The sequence below is a fragment of the Homo sapiens genome, chromosome 14 (genome assembly GCF_000001405.40).
Source record: "Homo sapiens chromosome 14, GRCh38.p14 Primary Assembly".
Lineage (NCBI taxonomy): Eukaryota > Metazoa > Chordata > Mammalia > Primates > Hominidae > Homo > Homo sapiens.
In genome coordinates this window covers 69368009-69379907 of record NC_000014.9, presented here as the reverse complement: position 1 = coordinate 69379907, position 11899 = coordinate 69368009, and the positions used below count along the sequence as shown (strand labels likewise).

Sequence of the window (11899 nt, the reverse complement as noted above, 5' to 3'; positions counted from 1 at the left end):
TACTATTGACGCAAACGTTATAAATGACTTTCTGGTGATAAAGCTTGTCCGCAGCAGCAGCAGCAGACAGATGAACTTCTTAGTGTTGATCAGATGAAGTACTCTTTCTAGGAGGTCTTTGTGCCCTTTTCAGAGCCTTCAGTTGGATACTAGTTACCCACTACTGTAGGGAAGCTATAAGGGCAAGGGAAAAACCACAAAAAAGTGTAAGATAGTCTTGTCTCTTTTTTGTTGTTGTTTTTTTGAGACAGTCTCACTCTGTACCCAAGCTGGAGTGTACTTCCAATCATGTCAATCATGTATTTTCAATCAGCAAGTACATGAGCACTCTCTGATTCTGCTATTAGCACTTTACCAACAGCCAGTGATATCTTGACACAGCATAAGATTGAAAGTTTTTTGGAAGGCTCATGATTGGTTTAATATCCCCCTGTTCCTGCCTCTACTTGCACATTAGGGCCTTAACTATTTTTTTTGTTGTTTTATGCAAGACAAAATTTTACCTAGAACATACTCATATGTGCTCAGTTTTTCTATAGAATAATCTGGTTAATGAAATGTTATCACTGTACCAAGAGATTATTAGAATTTTAGGGTACCTGACAAAATTAAGTAGAGTTGTAGTTAATGTTTCACTGTGAAACCAACCAAATTTTAAAGCTAAAATAGGCCGGGTGCGGTGGCTCACGCCTATAATCCCAGCACTTTGGGAGGTTGAGGTGGACAGATTATTTGAGGTCAGGAGTTCAAGACCAGCCTGACCAGCATGGTGAAACCCTGTCTCCACTAAAAATACAAAAAGTAGCCGGGCATGGTGGCACACGCTTGTACTATCCCAGCTACTTAGGAGGCTGAGGCAGGAGGATCCCTTGAACCAGGGAGACAGAGGTTGCAGTGAGTGAGCCGAGATTGCACCACTGCACTCCAGCTTGGGTGACAGAGACTCTGTCTCAAAAAAAAAATAAATAAAGCTAAAATAATCTCACACAAAAAGAAATAGATCCAAAAGTAATCTGATTGTCCTGTTTTTCATTTGGCCTGTCCTGCTAAAATAGTTTTATTTCTTTAACAAATAGAGGATCTTTGGCTTTATTTATTTATTAATTTATTTTTTAAATACTCTAGAGCAGATCTGAAGGGAATGAGTTCCCTTGATTCTCAGATATAGTACCATTTCTGGTGTTGGGCTTACAGAGGAAAATATGAGAAAGGAATGTGAGAAAGTATCTGGGTTCTAGATGTTGAGTGATGAGAACAAAAAGAAGGGGAGCAGTGTTTGGAATCATTAAAAGCTTAAGGAAGACTAGAACTGGAATAAATACAAAGAAACATTTGTCTATGTCCCATAATACACAGAAAAAGAGCCTAAAGTAGCCTTTTTGTGAAGGTGAAATGTGCAATGAAAGTTTCTGTGGTTTGGCCTAGGTACAACCACTGTCCTTGTGTTAGAGATTTAGAGTGTTGGTTGATTGGCCTTTCCCCAACCACAAGTAAAACAGGTTTGATTTCCGCTTATTAAGTGATATTTTATACTGCTACATAAAGGTGAAACCTCCCAGACAGATTATACAATTTCCGATTCTCTAATCCAGATTTATAATCTAAATTTATATACCTGAGAATTTCTAAAATATTTCTTGATAATGGCCATTTCTGTCCTGTAGTGCTTGATTTAAGAGGTCCCAGGAGTATAAAAAGAGTTCAACGATCTCACTTCCCTTCCAGTTCTCTGGCTTAATATATTTCCAGCAACTTACTAAATGCTCAAACAGGTTATGTGTCTTAACTCCCATTGTTGGGACAGAAGTAGTAGTGAACTGTTTTACTTTCAGCAAGAGAGGGACTTAAGGGATGAGCAAATAATTTTGTACTGTCCTAAAAGCAGACCAGGCTGGGTTGGGGGAGAGAGGACAGGGTAGTTTTCTCAGTATGATTGTCAACTTTACATCAGGATGGTCTTCCTTTATCAAATTGTTTTAACTAATCATTTGAAGGTTGGAATGAAAATCAGGATTGATACATAAATTGATTAATGTTACTATATTTGTAAGGATACTTTTATGTTCATGTTCTTTTTTTTTTTTTTTTTTTTTTTTTTTTTTTGAGACAGTCTCACTCTATCACCCAGGCTGTAGTGCAGTGGTGCAATCATGCCTCACTGCAGCCTCAATCTCCCAGGCTCAGGTGATCCACCTTAGCCTCCTGTGTAGCTGGGATTACAGGTGCACACCACCATGGCCAGCTAATTGTTTAAATTATTTTTTGTAGAGATGAGGTCTCCTTATGTTGCCCAGGCTGGTCTTGAGATCCTGGACTCAAGTGATCCACCTGCCTTGGCCTCCCAAAGTGTTGGGATTACAGGCATAAACCACTGCACCCAACCTAAGGATACTTTTGGAAGAAATATTAATTTATATGTTAGCATAATGATACTAGTATTGCCACTTAGACATAGCATTTTACTGCCTAGGAAATATTTCTACATATTTATCATCACAGCAACCCTTTGAGATAGGAAATAATTATATCTCTATTAATGGTAAAAATAAAAATAAAAATTTAGATTGCCTAAGTGATTCACCAGATCACAAAGCAATACCAAAATTTTGCTAGATGAAAAAGACAAGGTTTTAACCTCAAAGACCTTGAAGGGGAGCCCCATAATATGAATAGCTGTGCTAAATAATGGACCTCTAATTCTTGTCAAAGGGACCTTTTTAGACTCAATCAAATATTTGGATTCACAAGACCTGAAGAGGTCTTACTTGGCACCAATTTAATCAAAAGCACAGGGGACACAGAAAACAGCTTGCCAGCCCAGCATCATCAAGTGTTTCTCTTCCACGGGAGTATTCCTCATGGCAGTTCACACAGCCATCCAAGAATTATCCTCCGAACACACGGAAACACACAGTAGCTCAGATGCAAGAGATAAGACTTAGGTAAGTGCAAGAGCTACCCCAACTTAGAAGCTTCATGTACAACAAGAGCCACTAACTCTTGTAATAGCTTCATGGACATAGTTTCTAGGTCCCTGCAAGGAGCATGCCGCATTTACAAGTCATTGTATTCAGAGAAACACAAGGCCATGTCTTCCCATCAGGTATTCATTGTTTCTCCCAGTCTAGGTGTAATTTATCACATAAGGGCCATGTTTCTCATAAGCAGTCTTGTCTAGTAATACATTGCACCATTGTGTTTCCTCAGGAACAGAGCTACAATGTTAACCCAAGTTGACCATGAGTCAGTGTATTACATAATGGTGCAATGTATTACTAGACCAGATTGCTTATGAGAAGCATGGCCCTAAGTGGTTACCTTGGGTTAACTTTCTAGCTCTGTTCCTGAGGAAACATAATGGTGCAATGTATTACTAAACAGGATACTGATGGAATGATTAACCTCAGAAGAAAAAGTGACATGGAAAGTTGAAAGAGTTTGTGTTAAATGGTCTTAACTCATTAAATGAGTAAAATGAATTACTATCTTGGAGGAAAGGAGGCTGGGCATAGAATGGGGAGTCAGAAGAACAATTCTCAGAGCTCATACAGGGTGAGGAAACATAATCTGACCACTAGAGTCCTGTGTCACCAACTAAGGGATTCACTGAAGCCTCCAAAAGTGTTAAAATTTGTAATAAGACCAGTGGTCCCTTAAATTAAGGCTACTATGGATTTACCATAGCAAAGTTTAAAAATGGATCTTAGGCCAGGTGTGGTGGCTCACACCTGTAATCCCAGCACTTTGGGAGGCCAAGGCAGGAGGATCAAATGAGCCCAAGAGTTGGAGGCTGCAGTGAGCTATGATCACGTCACTGTACTCCAGCCTGGATAGCAGAGTGAGACAGTATCTCAAAAATAAAAAGTATGACAACAATAGTGTAAAGGACAATAGGGGGAAATGGAATACATGGTTGAAATGTTTTTTAACGTCGACGGTAGACTGAAAAGTTAAAGATGTCTATTTGAGGGCCAAGCATGGTGGCTAATGCCAATAATCTCAGCACTTTGGGAGGCCAAGGCAGGAGGATCACTTGATGCCAGGAATTCTAGACTGCAGTTGAGCAACATAGCAAGACCCTGTCTCTACGAAATAAAAATTTAAACATTAGCCAGATGTGGTGGCATGTGCCTGTAGTCCTAACTACTCAGGAGACTGAGGCAAGAGGATCACTCAGGCCCAGAAGTTCACGGCTTCAGTGAGCTATGATTGCACTCCAGCATGGGTAACAGAGTGAGAACTTGTCTCACAATAAAATAAAGATCTCTATTTGTAAACCCTAGAGAAATCACTTTAAAAAAAAAGAATCCAAAAGAAGATAGGATATCAGGATAATGTGGAAACCTGCGGTTGGAGGAGTTGCCATGGTAATGTTAACTCCCACCTTCATCTACAGGCTTTTGTTGTGGAGGCTTTTGTTTTACTGTGTGCCAGGACCCCAGAACAAAGAATAGGTGGGAAAATAGATAACAAACAGCAATATGGTAAATTTAGACCCAGTCATTAATAATTTCATTAAATGTAAATGGTCTAAACATTTCAATGAAAAGACTCGGATTGTCAGACTGGATCATGAAGCAAGACACCACTATATGTGGTCTATAAGAAATCCACTTTACATGTTAAGACACAGATACAATAAAAGTGAAAAGGATGCGGAAAGTATGTCATGCAAACACTAAGCATTAGAAGCAGGAGTGGCCATACTTAATATAAGGCAAGGAGACTTCATAACAAGGAATATTACCAGGGATGAAGGGGGATGCTTTGTAATGATAAAAGTGTAGCTTCATCAAGAGACATAACAATCCTAAAAATACGTGCACCTGCTGTCGTTTGCATGTGTCTCCCAAAGTTTATGTGTTGGAAACTTAATCCCAAATTCAACAGTGTTGGAAGTAAGGCCTAATAAGAGTTGATTGGGTCATGAGGGTATGAGCCTTATGAATAAATTAATGTCATTTCCGCAGGAGTGAGTTAGTTATCATGAGTGGTCTTGTCATAAAAGTGAGTTCAGTCCCCCTGCTCTCTTTCTTGCTCTCTTTCTTGCTTTCTGCCTTCCACCATGGGATGACATGAAGGCCCTTGCAAGGTGCCAGTGCCATGCTCTTGGACTTCCAGGCTCCAGAACTGTGAGCCAAATAAGTTCCTATTGTTTATAAATTACCCAGTAAGTATTTTGTTACAGCAACAGAAAATAGACTAACACATCACTCAGTGACAGAACTTCAAAATACATGAATTAAAAACCTCGGGATATTCCAATGTGCAATATACCACTACTGTTCAAAATGTTGCACACCTGAGTATCTTGAGCAGATTTTTATTTGGTTGGTCTGTGGTGGACTCACAGTCTACAATTTTAACAAACTTCCAGGTAACCACACTTTGACTAGCAAGACATCCTACACATACTGCTTTTCATGAGGTAGCATAGGAAAATGCCTGGTATATAGTAGGTGAACAGTAAATAGTGATAGAATCTGACTAAACAGAACAAGGCACATAAATGGCAACAAAGATGAACAAGAATGATCTTAGGCAGTAGGGATAGAGAAGAGCATAAACTTTAGTACATGAAGCAGTATAACATTTTTATGGGAGGGAGTGCTGGGGGAGTGTTAAGTGGACAAGGAATCATAAGTAAGTAACAAGCATAACACTGAAAGACTACTCACACTCTAGGCTAGACATTAAGGCAAGTGAATGATGGGCTAGGAGATAGGAGGGGCTGAGAGGCTGAAATCATGAGGGCACTTGAAAGATGGAGAAGTTGAAAGAAGCTAGATGATGGTCTGAGGGGAATTTCAGTGATACCTTAGAGGAGGGCCAGGCACAGTGGCTCACGCCTGTAATCCCAGCACATTGGGAGGCTGAGGCGGGCAGATCACTTGAGCTCAGGAATTTGAGACCAGCCTGGGCAACGTGGCAAAACCTCATCTCTACAAAAAATGCAAAAATTAGCTGGGTGTGGTGGCATATACCTGTAGTCCCAGCTATGCAGGAGGCTGAGGTGGGAGGATTGCTTAAGCCCAGGAGGTCACAGCTGCAGTGAGCCAAGCCGAGATTGTGCCACTGCACTCCAGCCTGGGCAACAGATTGAGACCCTGTGTCAAAAAAGAAAAAGGAAAGAGAGAAAGAGAGAGAGAAAGAAAAGAACAAAGAGAAAGAAAAAGAAGAGAAAGAAAAAAGAAAAGAAAAAGAGAAAGAAGACTTAGAGGGAGATAATCTCTTAGTGATTTGCTTTCCTGTCTACTCCACTACATAGTTTGTCTTGTAAGCCTAAGAAAGATGTTTTGCCTTTGAAGATAATAGTAACTCCTTCAGCTACATTTAGAGATCCTGTGTCAACATATCTAGCATACCCTTTCTTTTTTGTAATTATACACTTAAGTGGATGTTCAGTTTGAGACATACTGTGAAAAGGTTGGTTTAAAAGCCTTTTCTGTGCCAGAGGTAATTTTCTTTATGCTTTTCAAGAGACTATGAAGAGGCTAATGAGAACTGATGACATCGCTTAACTGAGACAGGCCCTGCATTCTTGTCAATAGATGTTTGAAGTTAAAGTGTGTGGGCTGTAATTTAAGAGAAATGGGATAGATCATGGTTTCTTTCTTGGAAGCCCAGGGTTGGAGGAGTTGTCATGGTAATACTAACTCCCACCTTTACCTACAAGCATTTGTTGTGGAGTACCTACTCTGTTACAGGACCCTTGGGCTTGGCCAACTATATTGCCTCTCTAGCCTTGGAGAAAAAGAGTATAGTTGAGTCTTTTAGTGTCTGTTCCATGGTGAGTAGTTTGAAGAGTATCCCACAGTTCTGGGTCCTTGCCCTGCAATGCCCCTGGCCATTCTAGAGATCACTTTGTCCTTGACACTGTCAGTGAGCTCAGAGACCTGTTAGAAGTATGGTCACCAACTTCCACCTACAATGCAACTCCAGGAAGGATTACCACAATGCTCATCCCAATTATTTTGCAAATCCCAATGGGAGGTTGCAGGTATAATGACAGAGGGCAGGAAACCTCATGTTTCTTGCAGAGTGTTAGGAAAAGATTTGAAGGTGCAGGTACTGAAAGGCTGTTGAGGACAAATGCTTATTAGAATGAAGTTGATTAGAGATCAAAGTCCTGCTTGATACCTCAACGTATCCTTGATACCCTTGCTTCTCTTAAGCCAGGCCCTCTGAATCTTTTCAGGTACTTGGATTGAGAAATTACTTCTTTCCTTCTTAGAAAAGGCTGAAGATCCCAGGCATGGTGGCATGCGCCTGTAATCCCAGCTACTCGGGAGGCTGAGGCAGAAGAATCTCTTGAACCTGGGAGGTGGAGGTTGCAGTGAGCCGAGATCGCATCACTGCACTCCAGCCTGGGCAACAGAGCAAGACTCCATTTCAAAAAAAAAAAAAAAAAAAAAAGGCTAATGATCACTACTAAGACAATTATGTATTTGAGCCTTGTGACCTATGTGTGAATGGTGAGCATCTCTGAATACTACCCAGCATTCCTGCAACAGACCAGTGTAGATATTGGGATTCCACAGTTTGTATAAGATTCTATGTCAACAGACCCCGTATCAGTGAGTCAGTGTTTGCAGCCAACACGGAGTATGTTGCCCCAAGAGCCTGTGGATGGATCACTCAGGCTTCCCAACAAGGACAACCGCCTCACCTCCCCCTGCCCATCACCAGCTTTGATAGGCACTCCAACCCCCAGCCACCTTCTGCCTAGACAAGCTCCTCTTCCTACTTGGGCTCTAACTCCTCACTGCAGGCCACTCCTGCACAGGGATGCCCTACTCATCCTGCTCATCCATAAAGGTAACTCCACATTTATGTGACCGGCTGTCCTAGTAACAGTTATGCTGTTTCCACCTCATTTTCACTGTTTAACTTAATCCTCGGGTAAGTGTAGAGCCAGGTGAATGATAACTTATTATTATTTATTATTTATTTTTTTATTTTTTTTGAGACAGTCTTGCTCTGTCGCCCAGGCTGGAGTGCAGTGGCACGATCTCGGCTCACTGCAACCTCCACCTCCCGGCTTCAAGCAATTCTTCTGCCTCAGCCTCCCAAGTAGCTGGGATTACAAGCTCACGCCACCACGCCCGGTTAATTTTTGTATTTTTAGTAGAGATGGGGTTTCACCATATTGGCCAGGCTGGTCTCCAACTCCTGACCTCATGATCCACCCACCTCAGCCTCCCAAAGTTCTGGGATTACAGGCGTGAGCCACCACGCCTGGCCAATGATAACTATTATTACAAAACAAACTCTTAAGAGTTTTGCACACTTTCTATATGTACGTTATACTTAATCAAATGTATTCCCCAGCAATATTTAATATTGCTGTTAGGCCGGGTGTGGTGGCTAACGCCTGTAATCCCAGCACTTTGGGAGGCCAAGGCGGGTGGATCACGAGGTCAGGAGACCGAGACCATCCTGGCTGACATGGTGAAACCCTGTCTCTACTAAAAAAAAATACAAAAATAAGCTGGGCGTGGTGGTGCGTGCCTGTAATCCCAGCTACTCGGGAAGCTGAGGCAGGAGAATCGCTTGAACCAGGGAGTGGGAGGTTGCAGTGAGCTGAGATCGCACCACTGCACTTCCAGCCTGGCGACAGAGTGAGACTCCATCTCAAAAAAAAATAAAAAAATTACTATTAATACAATACTACCAGAAAGAAGTCTAAAAACATTCATGTTACCGTGAAGTTACCCCTGTATCTTAGTGGAGGCCAAGGACCCCAGGGCAGTCCAGTCACCAGCTGCTCAGGCAAGGAATCTTGTTCAACTTCCGGCACTTCTTGATTCTCTAATAGGCTATCCTTGTAGCACTTTGATTCTCTAATAGGCTGTCCTTGGCCCTTTGGTAAGGGCCAAAAGATCTGATAAAAACATAAGGACTGTTTATTTGGTTTTTAAAATTGTATCAAGCTATTTCAAGAAATATTTTTAAATTGCTAAAGCTGCTCACAAAGCAGTAATGACCCTAGCATAGGTGGGATCTTGCCTTTTGCATTGATTTGCACTTGGCGCACTGTTCCTGTTGGAGATGGAGGGCAAAGGAGAAGATAGCACCAGGAGGCTCCTTTGCCCATCAGTATAAGATTCCAGCAGTATTAAGGAATTATTGTGATTTTTAGATTTGATAATGCCATTGTGGTTATTTTTTCAAATTCTCTTTTAGAGTGTATACTGAAATATTTACAGATAAAATGACATATATGAGATGTGCTTCAAATAATCCAGTGGAAGGGTGTAGATGAAACAAGATTAGCCATAAATTGATAACCTGGGTGGTGGGTTTCACCTCTTCTTTTTCATATGCTTGAAACTTTCCATAATGAAAAGTTAAAAAAAAATAAAAGATTCGATCACAAAGTTATATCCTATCTTGGCTACTGCATAGCGGTAGTGCTAAAGCCAGTAGGAACACTTCTAAGACTGACAATGCATCCATGATCCTTACTCCTCCATAGGGCTTTACCATTCACAGACCACATTCACTGCTCCACTCCACCTGGATACGCTGCCCCACCCTCTCCCCTCAGCCTGAGCAGAAGAGGGAATGATGCATTATCAAAGCAGGGCATATTTGGGCCACAAAAGAAGCCTTTGTTGAGGACGACTTGTCTGGTTGCTTGGCAGGCGGAGCTTGCAAGGAAGCCCGAGGTAGCTCTGCTATGTCAGGCTGGTGTTCTGTAAGCCTGGGAGCAGTGGGGAATGTTTGGGGCCACTGAAGCTGCATTTCTGACACATGCTAATGAGCTCGCCCAGGGATGTAAACAGAGTCAGCACTTCAAACTAAATTCTGGTGACATTTAACAACCCTTGCTTAACCACCTCCCTAGACTGCTTCTGACTGGACACAAGAATGCCAATAGAAAAGGGGGCATTTCCCACCTCTGACAGCTTTCCAATGCCAGTTTATAAAAAGCTGCCAAATGTGCCCAGCCTCACTCAGTGTGGGCATCCCCAAAGGAGAAGAGCAAATGTGTTTTCTGAATTCCCAATTTCAGGCCTCTCCACTCATCTCTACAATCTTCCCCAGTCTGGTTGGGAAGTAAGCTGTCCTCAGGGGGACCTTAGAGAGCTCCTTCAGGGAGTCGGAAGACTCATTAAGCTGACAGTTGACAGCTGATTTTGTCATGCTAACTTTAGACTGTTCCTAATCAGGAGCCACTAGTCCCTGAGGTGGTTGTGTTCATTGCCTACTTGTAAAAGTAGGTCTTTCTCTAGTTTTGAGTGCACGTGGTTGCGTCACTCTGTAGGTAACGTGGACAGAGCTGGGGAGGCCAACAACATGGATGTTCCTATTGAAGAAAAGTTAACCACTCCGTTCCCTAAGATCAGCCGCTTGCCTTGAAGACACATGCCAGTGGTTCACAGTGGAGCTCACCACCCCTCCTCATGGACCCCATCCAAAGCAGCTCTGTCTTGAATGGTGTTGCTAGCCAGCCAACCTTTCACGGCTGAGGTCTGGGTACAAGCTTTCATTTCTTTCTTCCTCACTTTCCACATCCAGTTGGTCAGCAAGTCTTGCTTTTATCTTTGTCTCTCTGCCTCTATTCATTTATTTAATTATTCATTTCCACAAATATTTACTTAGCACTTACTATGTGCCAGACACAATGTTAACATCTGGGGATATAATGGAATAAGACCGTCTGCCATGATCCCTCCTTCCATTCCTATGTGTCCTCCTGTTTGGGCCCTAATCAGAACCCCAGTGCCTTCATCAGGCCCTCATCAGTTATCATCTGCAATAGTTTCCTAATTGATCTTCCTACCTCAGGGTGACTCTCGATCAGTTAGTCAGTCATCATTCTCTCGTTACAAATGACAGAAACCCATCCTGACTTAGCTCAGGCAACAAGAGTGAGGGGTATAGTTTATTGAGTTGTGTAAACAAATTACAGGAATGGCCAGAGCACAGGTGAGTCTTAGGATCAAGTGGAACCAGAAGCTGATGGGCAACAGGAATGCCTGCTATTTCTGGTCCCTGCTTCCCTTGAAGTGTTAGTGTCATTCCCATCACAGGCCAGCTCTTTCCCACAGGGATGCCCATTGTCTTCGAGTTTTACCACTTTAGAAAGATTCCTTCTTTCTAGTCGAGTTAAAAGATCCCAAGAAATGTTCTGACTGGACTGGCCCAGCTTGGGTTACCTGCCCTGAGGACATGGTGGGATCTGTGTGGTGGGCAGCCTCTGAGGTGGCCCCCAGTGATTCCTGCCTCCTGGTAGTCAAGCCCTCGTGTAAACCCTCCTCTTAGGGGAAGGCTGAACTTATGAATGACTCTCCTAAAATAGCATACAGCAGAAGTAATGAGATCTCACTACCAGTATGAAGTTACAGAAGGACTGTGGCTTCCATCTTAGGTGTGCTCTCTCAGTCTCTCTGAGACTGTTGGTTCCAAGGGTAGCCAGCTGCCATGTTGTGAGACAGCCCTATGGAGACAGCCCATGGAAGTGAGCTTGGAAGCAGATTCTCTAGCCCTGCTTGAGCCTTGAGATGACTGCAGCCCTGGCTTGACACACTGATTGCAACCTCATGAGAGTCTCTGAGCCAGAACCCTCAGCTAAGCCACTCCTGGATTCCTGACCCATGGAAACTGTGAGATAATAAATGTTAATTGTTTCCAGCCACTAAATTGTGGGGTAATTTTTTACACGGCAATAGGTAGCTAATAGAGTCTATAATAAAATGGAAGTTTCTATTCAACCCACAAGGGAAAGAGCTTTTCCCAGAAAAAGGAGGCAGGAGGTTTTGGCTGATAAAGAATAGACATCCATCACTACCCTCTAATAGTCTGTCCTCTTCTGTGCTATGGAAGAGGACGTTTTTCATAATGAAAATCTGATTATATCACTTTCTTGCCATTCTTTCTCTTTTCTTTTTCT

At 42.4% G+C, this 11899-nt stretch overlaps 1 protein-coding gene across 2 annotated transcripts in view; it reads right to left on the bottom strand.

Annotated features, from left to right (window-relative positions):
- The window catches only part of GALNT16 (polypeptide N-acetylgalactosaminyltransferase 16), a 126707-nt gene that overhangs the window by 6430 nt on the left and 108378 nt on the right, over positions 1-11899 (bottom strand). The window contains exon 16 of one of the 2 annotated variants that reach the window (XR_007064036.1): positions 4-174. The exons of the other annotated variant lie outside the window; for it this stretch is intronic. The gene's annotated coding sequence lies outside the window, so the exon portion shown is untranslated. The remainder of the gene's footprint in view (positions 1-3; positions 175-11899) is intronic. 2 annotated transcript variants of the gene reach the window in all.